The sequence below is a fragment of the Homo sapiens genome, chromosome 5, assembly GCF_000001405.40.
Source record: "Homo sapiens chromosome 5, GRCh38.p14 Primary Assembly".
In the NCBI taxonomy this organism is placed as follows: Eukaryota; Metazoa; Chordata; class Mammalia; order Primates; family Hominidae; genus Homo; species Homo sapiens.
Window position 1 is genome coordinate 15,846,985 of NC_000005.10, and position 27,059 is coordinate 15,874,043.

A 27,059-nucleotide genomic window follows, 5' to 3' on the forward strand; every position below is an offset into this window, starting at 1 on the left:
GAATATTGATGAGGTATGAGAAAATAGCAAATCGTACACTCTTGGTGAACTCATAATTATCCCACCCTCTTTAGAGGACAATTTAGCATACTGATCCAGAGTTTTAAAGGAAGCACTGCTTTACCCAGTGTGGTAGGCAGAATTCCCAGATGGTCCCTGAATTAATCCATTCTCATGCTACTAATACAGACATACCCAAGACTGGGTAATTTATAAAGGAAAGAGGTTTAATTGACTCACAGTTCAACATGGCTGAGGAGGCCTCAGGAAACTTACAGTCATGGTGGAAGGGGAAGCAAACACATCCTTATTCACATGGCAGCAGCAAGAAATGCTGAGCAAAAGCAGGGAAAGCCCCTTATAAAACCATCAGATCTCATGAGAACTCATCCACTATCACAAGAACAGCAGCATGAGGGCAACCACCCCCATGATTTGATTACCTTTCACTGGGTCCCTCCCATGACACGTGGGGATTATGGGAACTACAATTCAAGATGAGATTTGGGTGGGGACAAGCCAAACCATATCAGCCCCCACAATATCTGTCCTCTGTGTACATCCTGTATATAATTCACTCCTTTTAGGGCAAGCAAGACCTATGCATATGAAAGAATTTCACTCTCTTGATTAGGTTTCATTATATGGAAAAGGTGGGGGGACCTTGCAGATATCAGAAAGCTCTCAAATCAGTTGATTTTGATTTAATTGAAAGGGAGATTATCCAAGGAGGACCTGACCTAATCAGGTGAAAGCCCTCAGAAGAGAGACTAGGGCCTTGTTAAAGAGAAAAATCCTCCTGCTGACCTTTAAGAAGTAAACTGCCATGTTGTGGGAGAGGTTATGGGAGCCTCTTGGAGCAGAGAGCCACCCGCAGTGGGCAGACAGCAAGAAAACAGGGGCTATAGTCTTACTGCCAAAAGGACCTGAATTCTTCTAACAACACCTAAGTTTGAAAGGGGACGCTTAGCACTGGAGAGGAACACAGCCCAGCTAACACTGATTGCAGTCTTGTGAGGCCCTTGCTGAGTGCCCAAACAATACTCCTGACCCACAAAAACTGTGAGAAAATAAATAGCTTTGTTTAAAGCCGTTGAGTTTATGATAATTATTTACACAGCAACAGGCAGATACTCCATCCAGCAGTTGTACTGCTAGAAATGTATTGGACAAAAATATCAAAGTGTACATTGTTGTATGTACAATTATGTTCTTTGAATAATTATTTATAATAATCTGTTCTTTCTGTGATAATTTGGAAGGCTTTTCTGATGCTTTGTGTCATCAGGACTACCTCAATTACTTAATTCTACCTTTCTTAAAAAAAAAACACAATATGGCAGACACAACATTCTTTGAAGCTTAAACAGTTTTCCGAGTGTATATGCATGCATGCATTTTGTTTTTGTTTTTTTGAGACGGAGTCTAGCTCTGTCACCTAGGCTGGAGTGCAGTGGCGTGATTTCGGCTCACTGAAACCTCCACCTCCCAGGTTCAAGCGATTCTCCTGCCTCAGCCTCCCGAGTAGCTGGGATTACCAGCACCTGCCACCACGCCCAGCTAATATTTGTATTTTTAGTAGAGATGGGGTTTCACCACGTTAGCCAGGCTAGTCTTGAAATCCTGACCTCGTGATCTGCCTGCCTCAGTCTCCCAAAGAGCTGGGATTACAAGCGTGAGCCACCATCCCCGGCCGCATGTTTAATGGAATCATTTAACTAAGAGAGAACTTTAAGTCAAAAGTAAACCTTTCTAATGAAACTAAAGTAACTGTGGGATTTTGTTGTGGCTGAGAGCCCAAAATTTATTTCATGAAAAAGGAAGAAAGAGCCCCTGTTTTTTCTGCAGAAACTTTAGGGGCCTCAATTACTTCAAACAATATTTTTCAGGAGCACTGAATTTTTGACTGTTTAAAAGGAAACAAAGCCCGAGTGAATGTTTTCAAATGCTATAGTCTGGATTATTGTCTCTTTTGGAAAAGTAAATCCAAGATGGCAGCTGCTGAGATGGAATGTTTCTTTGGGTGTTCTTAGCGCTTAATGTATAAATGATTGCTCTAGTAATGTGCAGTTTCATGAACTCCACTGATACATGGTCTGTGCAGGTGATTCCTCCATGCATTAAAAACCTTAATAGGCTTCACCTACTCCTTTTATCCTTTGGACTGTGATTTTAATATTTGCAAACTTAAAGCCAAATTTAATTAAAGCCAACTGTGCAGTGAATGCAGTGTGTGACTCCTCTCTTGATCTGCCTATTACAATTTAGTATCAGTTTGTTTTTTCTCTTCATTGCATCTGAAAGAGATCCTCTAGGAGAGGCTAATAGTCATTTGGTGAATGGATGAATAGAATTAGCGAATTAGAAACAAATTCCTTGATATGGTTTGCTGTGCCCCCAGCCAAATCTCATCTTGAATTTTAGCTCCCATAACTACCACCTGTTGTAGGAGGGACTTGATAGGAGATAATTGAATTGTGGGAGTGGTTTCCCCCATACCGTTCTCATGGTAGTGAATAAGTCTCACAAGATCTGATGGTTTTATAAGGGGAAGTTTCCTTGGACAAGTTCACTCTTGTCTGCCACCATGTAAGACGTGTCTTTCACCTTCTGCCATGAGTGTGAGGCCTCCCCAGCCATGTGGAACTGTGAGTCCACTAAACCTCTTTTTCTTTATAAATTACCCAGTCTCAGGTGTGTCTTTATTAGCAGAGTGGAAACAGATTAAGACATCCCTACAAATTCAAAATGCAAATTTTCATGTTTGTTTTTAACTTCTTGAAATGATTCATACTATTATGACAGTTTACCCAAATTCATACCTGTAAAAATGTGAAGTTCATTAAAATCTTTTAGCTTCTGCCTCGTCTGTTTTTAGAGCTTGATAATTATTAAGAACTCCTTCAATTCTCCCATGAGTGAAGCACTCTCATTTTTCCCATTATACAGATGAGAAAACTGAAGCATGGAGTGATTAATCAACTTATCTGACCTGAGCTAGTGGGGGTTGACTTAGGACTTGAACCCAGTCTATTTCCAGGTCCTGCTTTCACAAGCACCAGCACTTCTGCCTGTATAGATTAGAGCTTAGATTGATATCTTAGATATCCACACACTGTAACTTCAAAGCTGGTAAAATATTTTAAATTAAATAAATAGCTATTACTTTTTAGTATACAAAAACTTTAAATGTTGGGGGATGAAAAAGTTATGGTAAGAGATTAAGGCAATCCAAGCAACAATAGGAAAACATTCCGTTATTATGAAGCTTTGCATTGATAAGTTCCAAAGAAGATCACAAACGTGATTCCAGGCTGAAAAGTAGTAATTTTGTAGACGTTATTGTACAATATTCTTTCCCAGTTGGGCTCTAAGAGCTAAGCTCATAGCCTCCCTTGCAGAGTAGCTTCTAGCTATGGTCCCTTTGAACCACAGCTTCCGTAGAGAAAGGGGGTATTGCCAGGTAAATCAGCCCTGGGTCTTTGTGGTGTCACAGCCACATAAACTATGACTTTATCCATGTCATTTACAGGGTGACAAAGGTAGAAGGGCCTTTTAAAATTTAGATGTTTGTTATAATGATTAGTATTAATGTTGGGAATGATAATGTTTTCATAGAACTTACTGCTAGGCATTGTGGCAAGTGTGTTCCAGCATTGTATCCCATTCGGTTCTTGCAGGGCAGCGCCCACTCATTTCCCAATGTTGTCCGGACATGTTCCCATTACCCATGAGGCTCAGATATCCTAGCTGTGACTTGAAATCTGAATGTCACTTTTTGTTCCAGAGAGTTCACTATAAAGTGGAAAGACATGCTGGACTTTCCACAGGCTGATCTATGCTTTTGAGTTTTGATTTTCCTGAATCCTTTTTCAAACATCCTGTAGAGGTAAAAGTCAACACTGGATTTTCCTTTGAACGTGTGCTCTGTGCCCTGCTCATCTCTTGCGGCTTGGCTGTCGCCAGCATGTAAGAACTCCCAACTCCTTCCCCTCTCCTAGAGCCGCTTTGCCTCTTTCCAGACAGGCTCAGCTGAGTGCTCATTCTCTTTCCTTTTGAAAACACGACTCTGAGATGCAGCCTTTCTTGATAGACAGCATTGCTTGTGGAGCTATTATACATGTAATCAGCAAGGATACACACACCCGGCCATTTCCTGAAGAACGTGCTGCCAGGTCCGTTCACAATCACTCCTTTTATTTGGCATCAGCTTGTCTATTTGGAGAGTCTGACCACTGTTCAGAGAATTTTTTTTTCTCTATCAAGTACTTTGTGTTTGAAAGTGATGCATAAATGGCCTCTTTTCCTATTTTAGCCTGTGTGCAAAATGAAGTGCAAGTTGAAAACAGATATTCTCTTTGTCAGAATCACTCATACAATAGCATGTGCCTCAGGTCGCAACGGCACCTAACCATAGGAATAAAGCCTTGTTCTTCTCTTCTTGTCCGCCAACAGGCTAGAACTCATTTTATCAGCAACCAGAAATGTACTTAAATTAATGAAATAATGGGTCACTCTAATAGTTTGAAATATACTCTGCAGCATAAGGACATGTTTAGCCTCTTGTTCTGCCCGTGAGTGGGGGTTGTAGTCACCCTGAGTCTCTTAGCATAAAGTAATTCTCAAGGCTAAATCCATATAAATTAAATAAATATTATTTTCCATGTCTCTTTGCATTATCATTTTAGTTCCTTCACAATTCTTTTTAAGAGTCAGGTAGTTAATATAGTTTGGGAGGGCTAGGGAGGGCTGAGGATAAATATAAGCCTGTGTATTGCTATTCTCACGCAAATAAATAACAAATGGAAAAAAAGATTCTGCAAACTAATACACACACACACACACACACACACACACACACACACAAAGTTCCTTGGCTAGTTTTTTTGTAATATATATATTTCCTATATGTAGCTACCCTGTGGCCTCCCCCTAAGGTAACCACTTTACTTTTTAGTAGTGAAGAATGTCTAAAATATAATAAAGGTATATCTAGAACACAAACCTCCAAGCAGGAACAACCCATTATCTCTCCTTTGCATGCCCTGTCAATGGCTTCAAGGTCAAAGCTAGCTAAGTCTCTGAGTGTGTAGGGAGCTGACATCTTGGTGAAAAGTCCTTCAGTACATGCTAGATCATAGCTGACTTGCACTATCCTTCCAAACTTTGGAATATCTCTCTGGTATTGGATTGGTTACAATGGAAACAGAAAGATTCTGATCATACAAAATAAAGATTTTCATTTGTGAGCTCAACCATTGGATCTGTCATCTTCCATTAGTAGAAAAAATGAGGAAATCAAATACTTTGTTTTGTTTTTAACCACGCAGAGAAGGAAGAGAGTAGAGTGTGGGAAATTGATATATCTGCCTTACTGCCCCAGCCCCTCCCTCTGGAGTGTGCAAGTGGTCAGAAGTCAGCAAATTACTTTTCCATCATATTTGGCCCCAAACTACCCTGGTGAGTGAGGAGAAAGGGAATCATTTGATAAGGTTTGGAAAATAGCATCTGTTTTTCTTAGTGTTTCTGGATGAATTTATCAGGCATCCGGTAATTTGTACTTTCTGTTGAAAACTATAATAGAATACCGTGCATAGACATGAAACCTTTTGGTATTAGTCAGAAGCTACATACTGACTGCTGTTGGAGAAGACCACATTTACAGTCAAGGGTAGAATCATCTGAAATAGTTTCCCCTGGAAAAAAAAAAAACATGGCCATATATGCCTACATAGATCTCCTCTTTGCTTCATGAATTTGGAACTAAACCTGGGTGTTTAGATAATTCCAGTTCTAGGATTTTCTCACCTTGAGTTTATTCCCCTTATTCTTACTAGTTCAGTTTGGCCACTGTACATATGGAGCTTACTAGAGGCAAAGCACTCTGTGAGGGGCAATGGTTATACAAATAAGTAAGACTTTCCTGGGAAAACTAAATCCTGACATCAAGGGTGAAGCACAAATACAGTCACTTATGGAGGGCTGTCACTCATGGAGGGCTGACTATTGTAAGCTTTAGATATATTGATTTATTTAATCCTCTTCTCTATGAGGCAGATCATGCTTTTTATGTCTAGTTTACAAATAAGGAAGGTGAAGCAAGTCACTTGTCTTATGTAATCCTGCTGGCAAATGAAGAGCCAGAATTTGAGCCCAGGGGCACTTGTTCCAGAGTCCACACTCAGAATCACTGTGCTACAGTGGAACACAGCAAATGTGTTGAACATGCAAGCACTGAGTGCCATAGAGCATGGAGAAGAGCCAGCCGGCACACCCCAGGGCTGATTCAGTGAAGTGGGGTTTGAGATAGAGGGGCCATGAGCAGTCTCTGGCTGTGCTTCTGTATTTTCAAGGAGGTGACATCTTGAAGGGGAATTTATGGGATGAGAAAGGGGTTACTAGTTGAATGAAGAGATCTGAGGAGCCTACCACGGAGAAGGCATGGCTGGGTAGAGACCTCGAGTTGAGAGATGGTACTTGGGGCTAGTGGCAGGGGTGGCGAGAGGTGAGCGGGGAACATCTATTCCTGGGACCTTAGTAATGAGACTCAATCCTGGACAAGCATCCTTGTGATAGGGATGTTCAATGCGGAGTAACTGGGAGGAGACCTTGTCGAGGAGCATATCATGCTGTCCTTCAAGTCCAAGTCCTTCATGCCCCAGGCAGGCAGGTGGATGCATGCTCTGACTTGAGAAGAAACGCCATTCACAGGGCTGGATTTTTAAGTATTAATACAAGGCAAGAAGGGGCAAAGCATGAAGTCAAGGCTATGGGCAAGGGTAAGATCTAAAGAGTTTTGTGTTTGTGACCAGGAATATGAATTTTCCTTATGGTGATGGTTTTAGAAAAATCAGTGCAGTAGCTTTGTGGAGTTTGAATTTGTTCAGTACACAGCTCTAAATTCCACATTTATAATAATTGGCTATCTTCTTGAATGACATATGGATATTTGATCTTTGCAAGTCTCTTAATGAACAGTGACAGCGATGTAACAGATTGTTTTCATCAACATCTACAAAGGTCCTCTCTGCCAAGCCATTGGACTAAAATATTCAGTAGAATAAAGTGGACCACTTGGGAGTTTCCTTACTCTGATTTCATCTTTCTGTCTTTAGAGAGAAATGGTTATGTTACCAGAATACTCAGCAGAAATAAGAGAGAGAGGCAGAGGAGCTGTGAAATCCATATAATAAACAACCATCTGTTAGTAATTTATCAGACACATATAGGGCCTCAGCACAGTGGGTTCATTTGGACATGCAACACTAAGAAGTGTTTTTTCCTCATAAGTGTGTACATACGGTAATTGACTATAATTAATAGGTCAGCCTAAAGGTGAAAAAAAATCAAATTCCAAAAATATAATTTTGACAAACATCCTGTTAGCCATCATATTAATTATTCTATCTTTCAGTAGGATCTGAAGTCTGTCTGGGTAATCTTCAGCCTATGTGCCATGTGACTTTACCTGAATGTTAATTACATTAGCATGCTTTAGTGGAAAGGAAAGAAGGAAGAAGGTTGAGATGGGAGATCTGGGTTCCAGAACCAGTTCAAGTTCAACTCAAATGCTTTTCTAGAAATAGGAGAAATTAAACTGTATGATTTTTAAATCCTTTTTTAATTTGAAAATGCTTTTGAATTTGAACATATTAAGAGTATAATACTTCATACTTTCTCACGCACTCTCCCACCTGTTGCAGGCTCATGCTTTCAGCCTGAAACAGGTCATTTTGGCTGAAGCGAGTGACAAACATCCTTCACCCATTTTTAACAATTTCCCATTGCATTAAGTTACCCAAACTTTTTAGTCAAGTTCTGTTTTGAGTGAGCATTTGATGGTTATTCCCTTCTCACAAATACACTAAACTATTCGATCATAACAGACTCAGTCAAACCAAAAAAAACAGATGCTATTCCCTAAATAATACCCATCAATTTCTTCATTAATGTGTTTTTGAATTGTTTACAATAAAACAAAAGTAACAATCCACTGTTGTAATGATAAGACCAGGGTATTTCCTCATATTAGAAACAAGTCAAAATCCATTGTCTCTACTTCCTTTGCAGAATTTAGTTGACCTCATCCAAATTAAGAAAACACTTAGCTTGAAAGTTTGCCCTGCTAATTTTCATAGAAAATTAAAGTAAAATCATTATCAAGGGCCATGGTTTATTTTTCATCATTGTATAACTCTACATATTTTAGGTATAAACAAAATTTTGTGCATTTTTATTTCAAAAGACATAAATTTTGTTAATGTGTAAAATATAAAAAAGCTCAGAAGAAATTTACTTGTAATTTTACATCTGAAAAATAGACACTTGATGCTGAGGTGCTTTTACCCTTTCAGACGTTTTTCTGCATATATATATATAGAAATAACTCTCACTTCACTATGTGGTGCTTTACTGTTTTATAGATGGATTGAGACACAGTGGACACCCATACTTTTATTCTGGATGGACCTACTGTAAAATAGTGCTAAATGTTAACCATTTTTTTTCAGATCTTAGGTCATATATTTTCTTGTTCCTCCTAAAATAACTCTGATCGTAGGAAAAATGATACATTTAAGGTAAAAGTTATCACAAATTCAATCTGTTAAATTTGTGTCACACCTAGAGCTAAATAAAAATCTTTGTAGAGAAATATATTTCTATTTTTAAACTATAAACAGCTTCATAAGCAGATATTTTGTAATTAGCAGGGAGTGGAGGGAAGAGAACCAACATTTATGGAACATTTACAGTTTGCCAGGCTTTGTGATAGTGAATTTAAATGTACTTTCTAAACTAATTTTTATGTAACAAGGAGAGTTCCATATTATCCATTTTACAACTAAGGAAATAAGAACAGAGAGTTTAAATAGTTTGAACTTGGTCACACTGCTTTAAAGCTATAAAGATACAATTTGAACCCAAGCTTGTCTGATTCCAAAGTCTATGATTGTTCTTAAAAAGAAAAACTTAACAGCTTTTTGTTTCAAACTACCAAAGTAATATTTACTTATGGACAAATAGAGGGGATGTATTAGTCCATTTTCACACTGCTGATAAAGACATACCTGAGACTGGGAAGAAAAAGAGGTTTCATTGGACATATACTTCCATGTGGCTGGGGAGATCTCAGAATCATGACAGGGAGGTGAAAGGCACTTCTTACATGGTGGTGGCAAGAGAAAATGAAGAAGATGCAAAAGCGGAAACCCCTGATAAAACCATCAGATCTTGTGAGACTTATTCACTATCACAAGAACAGTATCATGGGGAAACCGACCCCATGATTCAAATTATTTCCCACCTGGTCCCTCCCACAACACGTAGGAATTATGGGAGCTACAATTCAAGATGAGATTTGGGTGGGGACACAGAGCTAAACCAGGGGAAAAGCACATTCTGGGGCCTATCAGAGGGTGGAAGGTGGGAGGTGGGAGAGGATCAGGAAAAATAAATAATGGGTGCTAGGCTTAATTCCTGGGTGATGAAATAATCTGCACAACAAACACCCACAACCCAAGTTTACCTATATAACAAACCTGCACATGTACCCCCAAACTGAAAGTAAAATTAAAAAAAAAACTAGAGAATAAAGAAATACATGACATAAAAGATAGAGACATCAATAAATCCACTCCAGATTAACTACTGTTAATTGTCTGGCACATGTTTTTAAAATCTGTTTTCTGTCCATATTCTAAGATACACATGTATTTTTTTACTGCTTTCATTCACTTTTCCTTCCTTCCTTCCTTCCTTTTTTTTCTTTCTTTTCAAAATGTGACCATGATATACATACTTGTGTTTTTCCACTTGGCTGTTTACTTCCATGACTCCTTCCAAACTCCTTTTGAATAGCTATAAATTAAAGTAGCATTATCTGTCATAGTTAACCAGTTACTAATAAATGCATATTGCGGTCATTTTTAAACATGTTTTAATAAACATTCATATATATTTATCTTTATGTATGTATGCAAGTATTTTTGTAAGATAAATTACCTACATTACAAATTCCCAAGACTAAAAGTATGAACCCATTACATTATAAACCATACTGCAACATTGCCTTCCATAACATCTTACCAATTTATACTCCCATGGCACTGCCGCAGGCATTGTCAGTAAACCCTAACCAAATGACAGGGATAGAGATCATTCATCCCACCTCAATTTTACTGATCAAAACACTGAGCCTGAGAGGGGTAGGGGTTTGCTCATCCTTACACCTGTAGAAAGTACTGGGGTCAAGCCCAGCTGAATTATAATATTAACTATGTAAAGTATAATAATAGCAAGCCAACACTTCAGAGTTCCAGGCACTGTTCTAATTTTAAACTCATTTAATTCTCATATCAACTCTGTGAGTTGGGTACAATTACTATCCCCAGATTGCAGATAAGGAAGCTGAGGAACACAGAGAGAGCCTAAATGACGTTTCCCATCAGCACATCTCCTGAGAGGCTGAGCCACCATTAGAATTAGGCAATATGGTCCCAGAGTCCATGCTCTTCACTTGCATGCTATATTTCTATGTTTTACTTATTTTCTATAAAGTAAGTTGTTTCCAAGAGGTATTCCAACAAAGTCACCTAGTGAAGTTCACTAAAATGTCATGAGCATAAGAGAGCCGTAGGCACCATCAAACATAGAAGATCAGGATCAAAGATTTTAAAGGTGGCAAAAGTAGTGAATGTTTTCTTGTGGTCTTAGGCAAAGTGAGAAATCAATACAATTAGATTGGGATCAGAAAACATATTTGAGCTTAGCTTAATTATGCAGAAATAGATGATTTATTTTTTCCTCCAATAAAGTTAGGTATCTTTTTAACTACTAGCAGACATATGTGAAAATGATTTGCAAAGGGTGACTTCATTGTAAATGCTACAGCATCTGGTATATGTGTATATGTGTATAATTATTGAATGTGTATGTTTGTCATGTCTCTATTTTGAGGACCGATAGATATAAGTTGAGGAAATAGAAACAGGTAAGTTAAAGAATTGTTCCAAGTTGGCACATTGGTTCAAGAAAATGTAGTATTCACCAGTATGCCAGTTTGGATTTCTTTCCAAGTTCATGGCTTGGTATTCCAGTCTTATTCCTTTTTTTCTTATTCACATTAGAATTCTGTAACACTGTAAAAGAATTATTGCAAATTTTATCCTTACAACTATTAGAGATGGAAAAAACTGGAGCAGGGAGGAAAAAGTATATATATATTTTACATAATATATATAACATATGCATATTATATATAATACATATTCAAAACTTATTTAGGATTTATCATTCAAACATTTTATCTATCATATAACAAATAACCATAAATGACACATCAGCATTGATAGCTAAGATAAGGGATTATTCTACAGTAAACCATTCAGCTAATATTTTATTCAGGAAAGAGGTTCTTTTGGTATTCATTGGATGAAAAAAAGGTTTTCAGAAGAAAGCCAGTAGTTTTGAAGCTTAAGTCCTTCTGTGGTGGGATCTGAGAACTGGAGAATTCTTTGAGGGCATTTATTGTTAAGTACTGTGTTTATAAAGGACAGGCAATAAATGCTGTCAGATGTCCATAAATTTTATTTGCAAGAGATGCTTTAGTGGGAATTATCTAATGTGCACATTTGTACTGATATGTCTTCAGTAACTTTCAGCTCTGAATCCACAAGGGAGCAAGCTACCTCGGCCAAATGTTAGTTTTTTGTTGATCTTTCTTTGCTTTTTAAAGGAGCCAAATTATTTTGATTTTTTGAGTCTGATTTAAGTTGTTGCTTCTCTTATTTAATAAAATCTAATATAGAACCATTTTGCAGATTTTACCATTTTTCCACTTACTATACTCATGGATGCTCAGTGACCACCGGAAATGTAGTATAATAAAATATTGTTTTATGGCTATGAACTAGGATATAATTAATACACAATATGGTCTGGAAACAATTCTACTTATATAACTTAACCAGTATTTTTATATCTGATATCCATTTTTAATATGTTGAAATAAAACATACCTTGGATCCTCTTCCTCACATTATTTAAAGTTAGGTTTTCAAATCCAATACTTACGATCAAGTGCTAGACAGAGATCAAAGAAGCCATCCAATTGTCTGTGCCCCAGTGTGAAGTAGATGATGCAGTGATTCAAGGAGGTGATGGGTGGAGCTTTTGAGGAGCCCCTACTGTGTCCACCAGGATTGGAGCCAAGAGAGAAAGTGAACTGGGCCCAGGCTGCAGTAGAAGCTTTTTATCCATCTTCTATTCCATCCTTCCAGTGACACAATAAGATAAGCATGATTACCCCAGTTGAGATAAGCATCAGAGATCCTCAACCTAGGGTGATTTTGCCCCACAGGGAACACAGAACAATGTCTAGAGACATTGTTGGTTGTCACAACTGCTGGTATCCAACTGGCATCTACTGAGTAAAGGACAAATTATCTCACCTGTATTAGTCCATTCCACACTGATAATAAAGACATACGCAAGACAAGGTAACTGATAAAGGAAAGGGTTTTAATTGACTCACAGTTCCACGTGGCTCGGGAAGTCTCACAATCATGGCAGAAGGCAAAAGGAGCAAAGTCATGTCTCGCATGGCGGCAGACAAGAGAGTGTGTGCAGAGGAACTCCCTTTTATAAAAACAATCAGATCTCATTAGTCTTATTTACTATAATGAGAACAGCACAGGAAAGACCTGCCCCCATTATTCAATTACCTCCCATCAGGTCCCTCCCACGACATGTAGGGATTACGGGAACAACAGTTCAAGATGAGATTCGGGTGAGGACACAGACAAACCATGTCACCACTCAAGATATCAATAGCGCCAAGGCTGAGAAACCCTGACCCATTTTACAGATAAAGAACCTGAGGATATAAAAATTTGAATACGTTGACCAAGGTTCACAATTTGTGAATGGTAGAGTTAACATCAAACTCAGGCTTGACTCATAAGTTTATCCTCTTTATCAATAAAACTCATTCCTTCATGGGTAGTTAGAAACACAATCAGAAAATGCAGATCAACATCCAGTTGCAGACAGTTGTAAATATTAGGGGACTGTACATCATAGAGATTTTAGATCCATTGAATATTTATATCTAGAACTATTAAATAAAAAGCACATACTTCTAGGAAATCAAAGTTCAGCTGAGAAGACTAGGGAAAATATATAGGCATACGTGGAATTCCAGTTTTCAAACAATTTATTGGTAACAAAATTTTATTCCTTGTACTTTTCTATTTATGTGGACACATATTCTCCTATCTGACAGCCTAGAGTTACCTAAATTTATTAAGTATGAGAAAATTGAATCAGATATTTTATTTTCAATATTATTTCCAGAACTCTTCATTTTTAGTTTATAAATATTGAGAAATGCCCTCTGGCTGTCCTGCTTGATTTATTTTATTCTTTGTATCTCTTGTCAAAGAAGTCCAGTGCATCCAGGCTACCAATAAGGAATTCTGATCCAAGCCTTGCACATCGTATTGAAAAGTCCTAGTTGCACAGATAATATTTAATTCTTTAGGAAGTTGGGCTTATTTTAGTTTCGGATAAGCTTATGCAAATTCAGGTCCCTTGGAGCCAGTCCTTGAAAAGCACTTATTCCAGTCTTTGTTGTCTTCTCACATTCATCCTCATCAGTGTATTAATTTCCCTTAACCTGGCTTTTTAGTTCCTCATTTTCGTAGTTGTCAACAAATCCAAGGCTTCTTTAACCAATTAGATACTTAGGGGTGATATGGTTCTTATTATTGGACTTGTCTTGGAAAATTACTAGACTATGGGCCGAAATAATCATAGAGTATTAGAGTTGACAGGAGATTTAGAAACTAATTGTCTAGACCAGATGTCTAATTATATACTTAGAGAAGCTAAGGTCCAAAGAGGTTAAGTATCTTTGCCAAGGTCAAACAGCTGGTTAGCAGTTATGGTGGAACCGCAGTTCTTATCTGCTGATTCTCATTTCTAGGCTGTCTGCACCACACTTTTTGCTACCCTAGAATGTGCTTCAAGATAATATTTGCTACATGGCATTCCACAGTGGTACATCTGTACCCAGTGTGTATTCTTTAACACTGCATGTTTTGTGGCTTAATTGGCCTTACCAAGATAATAGGTGGTTTCTTAGGCCCAGGTGTGACCATGGCAGTACTGATACCTAAAACTTGAAACAGGAGTGCCATTGTCATCACACTTTCTTATAATTCAGACACAGGCACAAGCTCCCAAGGATGGCTGCCTCACAGACCACATATGCAAGGATATTACCAGAATGACTGACATTTACATTGTCCCTGTATCTGAAGTCTTTGAAAAGAGCAACAACAACCACTCAAACTAGAAGGCAGAAAGCAAATGCTTGAGATCTTCTGTCAAGCCAAAGCCCTCTCTTGCTCAGCCACCTATGTGGTTGAAGGCAAAAGGCATCTTTGCTATGGCACAGAGTGATGGGGCATAAGGTAGTGACAGTTGCACGGACACCCAACAAAGGACATCTATACTGACTCAGTGGGAAACTACACTGTACTTGGTGATTCTCAGAGCCACTGAGCATAGAGGACTGCATGGAGCAGACCTTATTACCCATACTTCCCAACCTCTGGTTTTAAGGCCAAGCAAAGATAGAAACACAGGCTTCTCTAGAATATAGCAGCAGGGATATGAACAGAAGAGAGAGAGCTGGTAGCATAGTCCTATTAACATAACCAGCCCTGCTGGTGTCCTGAAGTCGTGGGGTGTTGACCACAGAAAATCAGCAGCCCTCTTCAGGTCACCTGGTGCAATGTGGCACATTGTTGGGCTCCTTCTGAAAAACGTGGCACATGCTCACCCTGTTATATCCGCCATATTCCAACTCCATTTGTCTAAGGACCTAGGTTGCAGTAATCTTCTACAAATACATATTTTAATATATGATCAGCCAGACTTCATTTAATTGTTTATTAAACATTTATTTATGGAGTATCTACTATAGGCCAGGCATAATTAGTGGTATAAGGTGACATGGAAAATTAAACTTATGGAAAGAGTTTTAACACTGACTGTCTTTGAGAATGGAAAGAAAAGAATGGAGAAATGACCTTAATGTGGTTTGACTGTGTCCCCACCCAAATCTCATCTTGAATTGTAGCTCCCATAATTCTCTCATGTTGTGGGAGGGATCCTGTGGAAGATAACTGAATCATGGGGGCGGTTTCCCCCATACTGTTCTCGTGGTAGTGAATAAGTCTCACAAGATCTGATGGTTTTATAAGGGGAAATGCCTTTCACTTGGCTCTCATTCTTCTCTTGTCTGCCACCATGTGAAACGTGCCTTTCACCTTCCACCATGATTGTGAGGCCTCCACAGCCACATGGAACTGTGAATCCATTAAACCCCTTTCATTTGTAAATTGCCCTGTCTCGGCTATGTCCTTATCAACAGCATAAAAACAGACTAATACAGACCTTTATTGAACATCTACAAAAACCGGGCATTTTATGTATATTATTGTACTGAATCCTCACAAGACTCTTATTAGGCAGTCATTTTTATTCTCAATTAACAAATTAAGGAAACAACTCAAAGATCTGTAGAGTACCTGAGGTTCACAGCTAGCGAGCAGGGAGCTGGTGGTGCTCTTTCCCATGCTCCAGTGGCTTCAATGAAGATGCTCTTTCCTGTATTTCAGTGGCTTCATGGGCTGAGTTGGGTCCCCTGCCATGCAGAACAGGAACATGCCACTGAAGCAGCTGGATGATGTGGCAGTGGGAAGGTGGGCAAAGCTGATTTGGGGCAGAAGCAGGGAGTGCTGATGTGCAGCAGAAAGGAACCTCAACTCCCTGAGAGTCCAGCTGGGGTGGAGCCTCGTCCTTACTGACGTGGAGGAAAGGGATTCTGTCCCATACTCCCTATCCTATGCCACATCCAAAACCTGAGGCCAGTAGGGCTGCTCATTCCCATCTAAGAAAGCCCCTGGGGAACTCAAACATTTTACTACATGTGCACATCTGTGTGTATTGAGAGCATGTTCTTATGTATGGGTGTGTGTACACTGCACAGGGGTATCTCGGTTGACTGCAATCCCCACACATGATGTATAGCAAAGTGTTTAAACAGTGACCTCTTGTACTAAAATTTCCCAAAGGGCACTGTGAGGTAGCAGACGTCCACTCTAAATTAGATTTCATTTTATTTGCTCTCTAGTGCAGGTAGCAATAAGTAGCAAAAACCCAAGGATGGAAAGCGAGAAATAGAAGCTTAAGAGAAGAACTGAGGAAATCCCTAAAATTAAAGATTTTCAGTGTTAACCTTTTCCACTTGGAACATGTGCTTTCTGGTCATCATTTTCTTTTTAAGGGCCCATTTTTATTTAAGAAGAAAAAGTCTTTTTTCATGTGCTTTTGCCAGAGAATATAGAGTTATATTCACATAAATCAAGGCAGGAATTTGACAGGTACCAGTCTGATGTGATCCACGTGGGCTAGGGTCATAAAATATCTACATGGGAGCCATGGAGAATGGTCGATGTGACCTCACATTGGTGACAAAATTCCTTTTACTGTCTGGCACCATTTCTGTGTTCCTCTTGCTGTCTCTTATGGTTTGGATATGGTTCATTTGTCACCACCAAATCTCATGTTGAAATTTCATCAGTGTGTCAGTCCTGGGAGGTGGGGCCTAGTGGGAGGTATTTGGGTCATGGAGACAGAGCCCTCATGAATAGAATAATGCTCTCTTTTGGTGATGAGTGAGTTCTCACCCTGTTAGTTCACCAAGAGAGCTGGTTGTTAAAAAGAACCTGGTACCTCCTCACTCTCTCATGCTTCCTCTCTTTGTATGCTCTCTGCCCATGCAGGGTCCTCCTCGCCTTCCACCATGAGTGGAAGCAGCTGTTGGCCCTCACTAGATGCCTAATCTTGAACTTGGTAGCCATTAGAATTGTAAATCAATTCTAGAGTTGTAGGTGGTTCCCTATCACTGATAGTCTATTGACTAGAGTTACGGATGGGTATTGAGGACTGTGATGTGCTAAGAATGGATGAAAATAAGATTATCTGTCAGGTCTCTCAGAGAAGAGTAACCAAACTTGGCAGAAATCACTTAACATGAGTGTCTAGGTATTCCTTTATAGCAACCCAAATGGACTAAGACACCATTTCTAGAAGCCCTGTCATTGATATTCTAGAGTTGTAGGTGGTTCCCTATCACTGCCTAATCTTGAACTTGGTGGTCATTAGAATTGTAAATCAAACAAACTTTTTTTTCATTCTGAATTACCCAGTCTAGGTATTCCTTTATAGCAACCCAAATGGACTAAGACACCATTTCTAGAAGCCCTGTCACTGATATTCTAGAGTTGTAGGTGGTTCTCTATCAGTGCCTAATCTTGTACTTGGTGGTCATTAGAATTGTAAATCAAACTTTTTTTTTCCATTCTGAATTACTCAGCCTAGGTATTCCTTTATAGCAATCCAAATGGACTAAGACACCATTTCCAGAAGCCCTGTCATTGATATTCTAGAGTTGTAGGTGGTTCCCTATCACTGATGGTCTATTGACTAGAGTTACGGATGGGTATTGAGGACTGCGAGGTGCTAAGAATGGATGAAAATAAGATTATCTGTTAGGTCTCTCAGAGAAGAGTAACCAAACTTGGCAGAAATCGCTTAACACAAGTGTCACAGAACAAGTAGAATAAAGTTACTGGGAGGAACCAGAAAAGTAGTGCAGATTTGTTAATGCTGAAATGTAGCCAAGACACATGGTTTACGTTGCAGTAGAATAAGTCAGCAGGTTCAGTAGATTCTAATTTCTATTGAAATCCATCTTAAGAAAATATTAAAGAAATATTATTATATCTAAGGCCTTTTCCATTGCAGGGAAAAGAATGCAAGCTCAAACTAGCCTCAACTTAAGATGGAGTCTATTGGCTGCTGCAGATAAAAAGGTCTGGTATTGTCTTCCTTTAGGCTGGCTAAATTCAGACATTCTGTGAATGATCTCAGGAACTGATTCTCCCTCCAAGACTTGGCTCTGATTTCTGGCAGTGCTGCTTTCATTTGCTGAAGGATTCTCTTTACATGATGGGAAGGATTACCATTTTAAACTTAAGTGGTCATTATAACTCAAAATTTCATAAGGAGAGAAACCATCTCTGGCTCCAAACATCCATTCCAGCCCCCAAAAGGTCTCTGATGGGTAAGTAAGCATCATTTGTCCAGCTTCTGTGGGAGAGGAGTAACGCCCTGACTGACAGCTCCATCTAAATGCTACGAGCTGAAGGAAGGGCTGTTCCCAAAGGAAAGGTTGCAAGGAGGTTGAATGAGTACCATAGCTATCCATAATGAGACTGATTAGATCCTGGTCCCACAGGGAGAAAACAGCTTAAAAGCAAATTGGAGCTTACCTGAATGTTCGAAGAGGGCTTTAAAGAGAGAAAGATTTGAATTGAGATTATATATGTCAGGAGGATCTAGAAGCAAAGATACTTCTATAACTTAGACTTAATTCCTGCACTGCATAATGCTGCCTCTCCATCACACTTCACAGACCCACGGATGAAGCTAAGAATTGATGACAAGCCTCTCACTCTTAGCACCCTCTCTCCTAATCCCTTTACATCTTCACTCAGCATTTTGCTTACTCCGTTCTTGGTCTCTGGGTCTCTCTCTCTCTCCCCACCCCCACTTCTATTTCTGTCTCCCTTTTTTCCCCTTCTTCTTCCCTCCTCCCTTCTCTCTCCTTAAAATGCCTTCTTGAAAACAATATACAATAGAACCATGTGGTGAGGACAGTTCCTTTCAACTCACTTTTACTTAGAGCTATTTTCATCATAATTGTTGTGAGATGAAATGCTGGCCTTTCTTTACATGTTGAAAAAATTAAAAGTGCTTCAAAGGTCAGAGAAAACAATCCCCTAAATAACAGCTTCAGGGAAAATGCCCACATAAAGTAACTGCTCCCTCCCTGACACCAGAACATGTAATTCTCTAGTTTTCGTTAAGAGTAGATCTCCTACCCATTCTTATTATCTTTAAAGATGACAACAATGGGACCCCTTAGACCAGAAGGCCCACCATAGCCAAATAATTCTTACAGAAATAAAATTGTTTGTATTTTTTCTCCTAGGATAAAATCTATATGACAGTTTTGTTACTGGAAAAAAAAGTCTCCTTTTCCCTAGAAATTGTGCGAATGAAACAGAGGTAGATTTTGTTTTCAATTATGGCTGCAGTTCTACATGTTATTTGTCACATGTAGACACAGGAATGAGCCTTGCAACTGTGGAATTATTAGCTGAGTGAAAAATGTTACTGGACCAAGATGTTTTCCTAACCATTGCTAGAATTAGTTAAGTCACTGACATCAATGTCTAATATATAATGTGCATTATCAGAGAAAACCACCAAAACATTCACAGGTTGTGAATACAGTAATATAACACATATGTGCAGATAGCTAGCCACTCATGATCAGAAGTTTTCAAATGATACTTCTGAGAAATTGTTCCTGTATTTTTTCCTTTAACTTTATCTGTAGCTAATGCCCATTACTTTTTTTTTATTTCTTCTAAAAAAAAATGGGATACATGTGCAGAATGTGCAGGTTTGTTACATAGGCATATGTGTGCCATGGTGGTTTGCCGCACCTATTGACCCATCCTTTAATTTCCCTCCCCTCACCCCCCACCCCCCAACAAGACCTGGCGTGTGTTGTTCCCCCTCTGTGTCCATGTGTTCTCATTGTTCAACTCCCACTTATAAGTGAGAATATGCGGTATTTGGTTTTCTGTTACTGTGTTAGTTTACTGAGGATGATGGCTTCCAGCTTCATCCATATCCCTGCAAAAGACACAATTTCATTCCTTTTTATGGCTGTATAGTCTTCCATGGTGTATATGTACCACATTTTTTTAACCCAGTCTATTAATGCCCATCACTTATATGGAATGGGGTAGAATGAACCAACTTTTGTCCCTGTCTAACTTGAGAGTTAAGTTAGAAACTTAAGAAAGATACATTATGGTAGGAAATAAATTTGGAGGTGAGGCATAGAGCAGCGCTTTTTTTCCACTCTACATATAAATCCTGATATTCAAATCTCTTTAATTAGAAGACCTTGTAAATTCAAATCCATATCCTTTAGGATAAAGTTTCAGTACTCACTATGCACTAAAGTCCCCTGTTCTCTCAGACTTGGAATCACTCACAGTCTTCCCTTCCCTAAAGCAGGTGGCTTTCAGTTCTTAGCATACAGTTCTTTAAACTGGGCATGCTGTTCATCAACTTAGTGATTTTGCTCCAGGCTTCCTCTCTCTAGAAGACTACCTATCATCTCCACCTTCTCCTGACTATCCTTAAGACTTAACTCAAACACACGTCCTACAGAAAGCCTGTCTTGACAGTCCTTCAGTCTAAGGAAGTTGGTGTCAGTCCCATAAATAACATCTATCACATAGACCTGTCACAGCAGTGACTGGTTTACTTGTGTTTCAACTCCAACAGAACATCCTTGTATCTTCAGTAATTCTGATATTGTTTTCCCAAAATGCCCCTCTGGGAAGTACAATAATGGCCCCCAAAGTGTCTGTATGCCAATCTCTGGAATCTGTGAATGAGTTCTATTAAATGGCAAAAAGGATTTTGCAGATTGAATTAAGGTTACTGAACTTAATAGAGGGAGATTAATCTTGATTACTTAAGTGGGCTCAGTCTGATCACCTGGGTGCTTAAAGTGGAAGAGACAGGCAGAAGAAACACAACCACAACAAAGAGGCAGGAAAGATTCAAAGTGTTAGAGGGACTCTACCCACTGTTGCTGGCTTTAAAAATGGAGGAAAAGGGCTGGGTGCAGTGGCTCATGCCTGTAATCCCAGCACTGTGGGAGGGTGAGGCAGGCGGATCACAAGGTCAAGAGATCAAGACCATCCTGGCCAACATGGTGAAACCCCGTCTCTGGTAAAAATACAAAAATTAGCCGGGTGTGGTGGTGTGCACCTGTAGTCTCAGCTACTTAGGAGGCTGAGGCAGGAGAATCACTTGAACCCGGGAGGCGGAGGTTGCGGTGAGCTGAGATTGCGCCACTGTACTCCAGCGTGGCGACAGAGCAAGACTCCGTCTCAAAAAAAAAAAAAAAAAAAAAATGGAGGAAAGGGACCATGGGCCAAGGAATGTGGGTGTCCTCTAGAATCAGGGAGCAGCCCCTGGCTGGCAAGCCAGCAAGGCAACAGGAACCTACAACCTGCAAAGCCAAGTCCTACAGTGGAATTCTGTCAACAGTCTGAATGAGAAGATAAATGAGTTTGCCTCTAGAACCTCCAGAAAAGAATGCAGCTCTCCTGATGCCTTGATCTTAGCCTGGTGAGATCCATGCCAGAATTCTGACCCACAAAACTGTAAAATTATAAATTTGCATGTGTTAAGCCACTAAGTCCATGATAATTCATTACAGCAGCAAAAGGAAACTAAGATACCTTCTCCGGCATGGACTTGGACTCAACAGAACTGTGTTTAGTACCCAGCATCAATGCTACTGCAGTGTGATTTGGGGAACTAAATCTGAGTGGCCACATTCTGTACATGGATAGAATCCAGAACCTGTCGCTTAGGCTTCTGTGTGGACAGCATGTGAAGGTATAGGTAAAGCACTCAGAAGATGGTTGGCACATATGAATTTTCACCTCCACCTCATTACAAATCCATGCCCCTCAGCCTGGAAGGATCTCCCCGCAGATGTCTACATGACACAATCTCACCTCTGTCAAGTTTCCATTCAATGGAACCTCCTCCTTAAAGTCCTTCCTTGGTCATGCTACTTAAGATTTCAACTCATCCCTCACCCCCAACCTCATCACATTCTAGTTCTCTTCCCTACTTCATTTTTTTCCCCGTAGTACTTGCCACTAGAGTAATTGTATATAAGAGTTAACTATCGCTGTGTAACAAATCACCCCAAAACTAAGGGACTTCAAACAATACGTACTTACTCTCTCACTGTCTTTGTGGGCCAGGAATCCAGGCACAGGTTAGCTAGGGGGCTTTGGTTGTCTCAAAGCTCATTATGAGTCATTGAACGAAGAGCTCCATTCCTCACCAGCTGCTGGTTGGGGGTGAACTCAGTTCCATGCCACATAAGCTTCTCATTAAAATGGACAAGCCTAGAAGGCAAGAGAGAGTGCTAGTAAGACGGGAGTCACAGACTTTGTAGCCTAATCTTGGAAGTGATATCCCATCACTTTGCCTATATTTTCTTTGTTAGAAGGAAGTCACTAGGTCTAGCCCATAGTTAGAGGTGATTACACAAGGGTGTGAATACCAGGAAGCAGGCATTTGGGGGAGCCTTGTCAGAAGCTGCCTACCACATCATGCTCCCCAGGCTAAATGGGACAGTCCCCGTTAACAAACACTGCTTTAATGTTGTTATCAGCCGTACTTCCGGCCGACACATGTGGCCCTGGTGTAATTATCAGGGGCACTTCTTTCACGCAAGAATTGTCCAGACTGAGACAATAAATTACGTCATCTTCCCTCTTAATGCTTTCCAATATAATATAGAATTTACTAATTTGTTTTGGTATCTTATCCAAATCCTTCTCTAAATAGCAGATCCCTAAGCAGGATTTAGGGATCCCTAAATAGAGATTTTTATATGTTTTGTTCGCCGCTGTATCCCCAGTGCCCAGATTAGTAGTCAATCTTCAAAACATATTTTGAGCATATATTTTGTCATGAAGTGTTTAAAACTACGCCACTGAGTAAAATTGGTGTTTTGGGAATACATATTGTTGCTATGTAATCTCACGGTTTTCATCAATACTGTTTTGGGGAATCATCAAAATAATAATTAAGCTGGCCATGGTGGCTCACACCTGTAATCCCAATACTTTGGGAGGCTGAGATGTGCAGATCACTTGAGTCCAGGAGTTCCAGACCAGCCTGGGCAACATGATGAAATCCTGTCTTTACAAAAAATACAAAAATTAGCTGGATGTGGTGGCACACTCCTGTAGTATCAGCTACGCAGGAGGCTGAGGTGGAAGGATCACTTAAACCCAGGAGCTTAAGGATATAGTGATCCGCGATTGCACCACTGTACTCCAGGATGGGTGACAGAGTGAGACCCTCTGTCAATAATAACAATAATAAGTTAGTTGCTATTGTCAAGGTATGGTGAGGGGGGAAAAGAAGGGACCTACCAACCTAAATGATCCATGGGGGTGGGATGGGGATGATGTTTTGGAGTTGGTGAGCCAGGGTTGAGTTTAAAATCATAAGCAGGCATTCAGGGGTTGCATGGAGATGGGGGTGTGGCAATGTATGAAGAGCAGAGGTTGGTGAGGTGGCACAGACAAAATCAAGAGGCTTAAAGACCATGCTGTGGAGTGTGGACTTATCCCAAAGACTCCAAGGCACTGCTGGAGCATTTGAAGAGGGAGAATGGAGAAACAAATGCACGGATCAGAAAAGTCCCTCCTGTGGCAGTAGAGAGGATGAGGTTAGATACACCTGGAAGGAAGGAAAAGATTAAGGGTTTTTTGGAGTGTCAGTTAGGGTAGAGGGAAATTTAGTAAGAAAAAGATGGTGGGGGGATTACTCAAACATGTTCATGCTGGTTTTGCTGGGTATATTGACTATAAATTAGTTTTTCTATCACATTTTTATTATGTAGTTATATCACTTGTAAATTAAAGAAGTTATATTAAAGTGTTCCCACTAAGTTTGGACTGGGTGGAGCCCACCACAGTGCCACAGAGCCACTATAGCCAGAATGCCTCTCTAGATTCCTCCTCTCTGAGCAGGGCATCTCTGAAAGAAAGGCAGCAGCCCCACTCAGGGGCTTATAGATAAAACTCCCATCTCACTCAGGCAAGCACCCAGGGGAAGGGGCGGCTGTGGGCACAGCTTCAGCAGACTTACACGTTCCTTCCTGCCAGCTCTGAAGAGAGCAGCAGATCTCCCAGCACAGCGTTCAAGCTCTGCTAAGGGACAGACTGCCTCCTCAAGTGGGTCCCTGACCCACGTGCCTCCTGATGGGGAGACATCTCCCAGCAGGAGCTGACAAACACCTCATACAGGAGAGCTCTTGCTGGCATCTGGCAGGTGTCCCTCTGGGATGAAGCTTCCACAGGAAGGAGCAGGCAGCAATATCTGCTGTTCTGCAGCCTCTGCTGGTGACACCCAGGCAAACAGGGTCTGGAGTGGACCCCCAGCAAACTCCAGCAGACCTGCAGACTGTTAGAAGGAAAACTAACAAACAAAAAGCAATAGCATCAACATCAACAAAAAGGATGACAATGCAAAAGCTCCATCCAAAGGTCACCAACACCAAAGACCAAAGGTAGATAAATCCACGAAGATGAGGAAAAACCAGCACAAAAAGGCTGAAAATTCCAAAAACTAGAATGCCTCTTCTCCTCCAAAAGATCACAACTCCTTGCCAGCAAGGGAACAAAAGTGGATGGAGAATGAGTTTGACGAATTGACAGAAGTAGGCTTCAGAAGGTGGGTAATAACAAACTCCTCTGAGCTAAAGGAGCATGTTCTAACCCAATGCAAGGAAGCTAAGAACCTTGATAAAAGGTGAGAGGAATTGCTAACTAGAATAACTAGTTTACAGAAGAACTTAAATGACCTGATGGAGCTGAAAAACACAGCACGAGAACTTCGTGGAGCATACACAAGTATCAATAGCTGAATTGATCAAGTGGAAGAAAGGATATCAGAGATTGAAGATCATTAAAGCATGAAGACAAGATTAGAGAAAAAAGAATGAAAAGGAAGGAAAAAGCCTCCAGGAAATATGGGACTATGTGAAAAAACCAACGTTTGATTGATGTACCTGAAAGTGATGGGGAGAATGGAACCAAGTTGGAAAACACACTTCAGGATATTATTCAGGAGAACTTATCCACCATAGCAAGATAGGCAAACATTCAAATTTATGAAATACAGAGAACACCACAAAGATAATCCTCAAGAATAGCAACTCCAAGACACACAATCATCAGATTCCCCAAAGTTGAAATGAAGGAAAAAATGTTAAGGGCAGCCAGAGAGAAAGGTCGGGTTACCCACAAAGGGAAGTCCAGCAGACTAAGAGCGGATCTCTCTGCAGAAACCCTACAAGCCACAAGACAGTGGGGGACAATATTCAACATTCTTAAAAGAATTTTCAACCCAGAATTTCATATCCAGCCAAACAGCTTCATAAGCAAAGGAGAAATAAAATCCTTTCCAGACAAGGAAATACTGAGGGATTTTGTCACCACCAGACCTGCCTTACAAGAGCAGGAAGCACTAAATACAGAAAGGAAAAACTGGTACCAGCCATTGCAAAAACATACCAACTTGTAAAGACCATCAACACTATGAAGAAGCTGCATCAACTAGCCAGCTAGCATCATAATGACAGGATCAAGTTCACACATAACAATAACAATAACAATAACAATATTAACCTTAAATGTAAATGGACTAAATTCCCCAATTAAAAGGCACAGACTGGCAAATTGGATAGAGAGTCTAGGCCCATCGCTGTGCTGTATTCAGGAGACCCATCTCATGTGCAAAGACACACATAGGCTCAAAATAAGCAGATGGAGGAAGATTTACCAAGCAAATGTAAAGCAAGAAAAAAAACAGGGGTTGCAATCCTAGTCTCTGATAAAACAGACTTTAAACCAACAAAGATCAAAAAAGACAGAAGGACATTACATAATGGTAAAGGGATCACTGCAACAAGAAGGGTTAACTATCCTAAATATATTTGCACCCAATACAGGAGCACCCAGATTCATAAAGCAAGTTCATAGAGACTACATAGAGATGTAGATTCCCACACAATAATAGTGAGCGACCTTAACACCCCACTATCAATATTAGACATATCAACAAGACAGAAAATTAAGAAGGATATTCAGGACTTGAACTCAGCTCTGGACCAAGTGGACCTAATAGACATCTAGAGAACTCTCCACCCCAAATCAACAGAATATACATTCTTCTCAGCACCACATAGCACTTATTCTAAAATCAACCACATAATTGGAAGTAAAACACTCCTCGGCAAATGCAAAAGAATGGAAATCATAAGAAAGAGTCTGTCAGTCCACAGTGCAATCAAATTAGAACTCAGGATTAAGAAACTCACTCAAAACTGCACAACTACATGGAAACTGAACAACCTGCTCCTGAATGACTTAAGGCAAAAATGAATAAGTTGTTTGAAACCAATGAGAACAAAGACACAATGTACCAGAATCTGTGGGACACAGCTAAAGCAGTGTTTAGAGGGAAATTTATAGCACTAAATGCCCCCAGGAGAAAGCGGGAAAGATCTAAAATTGACACCCTAACATCACAATTAAAAGAACTAGAGAAGCAAGAGCAAACAAATTCAAAAGCCAGCAGAAGACAAGAAATAACAAAGATTAGAGCAGAACTGAGGGAGATAGAGACACAAAAAAACCCTTCAAAAAAATCAATGAATCCAGGAGGTGGTTTTTTGAAAAGAATAGCAAAATAGATAGACCACTAGCCAGACTAATAAAGAAGAAAATAGAGAAGAATCAAATATACACAATAAAAGAATGATAAAGGGGAGATCATCACTGATCCCGCAGAAATACAAAGTACTCTCAGAGAATACCATAAACACCTCTACACAAATATACTAGAAAATCTAGAAGAAGTGCATAAATTCCTGGACACATACGCCCTCCCAAGACTAAACCAGGAAGAAGTCAAATCCCTGACTAGACCAATAACAAGTTCTGAAATTGAGGCAGCAATTAATAGCCTACCAACCAAAAGAGGCCCAGGACCAGGTGTATTCACAGCTGAATTCTACCAGAGGTACAAAGAGGAGCTGGTACCATTCCTTCTGAAACTATTCCAAACGATAGAAAAAGAGGGAATCCTCCCTAACTCATTTTTTATGAGGCCAAAATCATCCTAATAACAAAACCTGGCAGAGACACACACAAAAAAAGAAAATTTCAGGCCAATATCCCTGATGAAGATCAATGCGAAAATACCCAATAAAATACTGGCAAACCAAATCC

The 27,059-nt window shown here is 39.9% G+C and overlaps 1 protein-coding gene and 1 long non-coding RNA gene across 12 annotated transcripts in view; one reads left to right on the plus strand and one right to left on the minus strand.

Moving 5' to 3' along the window:
* Positions 1-27,059, plus strand: part of FBXL7 (F-box and leucine rich repeat protein 7) — a 439,614-nt gene that overhangs the window by 346,805 nt on the left and 65,750 nt on the right. The gene's annotated exons all lie outside the window — the stretch shown is intronic.
* LOC107986343 (uncharacterized) overlaps positions 1-27,059 on the minus strand; it is a 47,786-nt gene that overhangs the window by 565 nt on the left and 20,162 nt on the right. For 6 of the 7 annotated variants that reach the window (XR_007058704.1, XR_001742399.2, XR_001742398.2 and 3 more), the window contains 3 exons: positions 21,984-22,154; positions 15,597-15,712; positions 11,204-12,271 (listed from right to left, as the gene is read on the minus strand). This is a non-coding gene — a long non-coding RNA (uncharacterized LOC107986343). Of the gene's footprint in view, positions 1-11,203; positions 12,272-15,596; positions 15,713-21,983; positions 22,155-27,059 lie in introns of those variants that run through there. The other variant, XR_007058705.1, reaches the window with a different exon arrangement.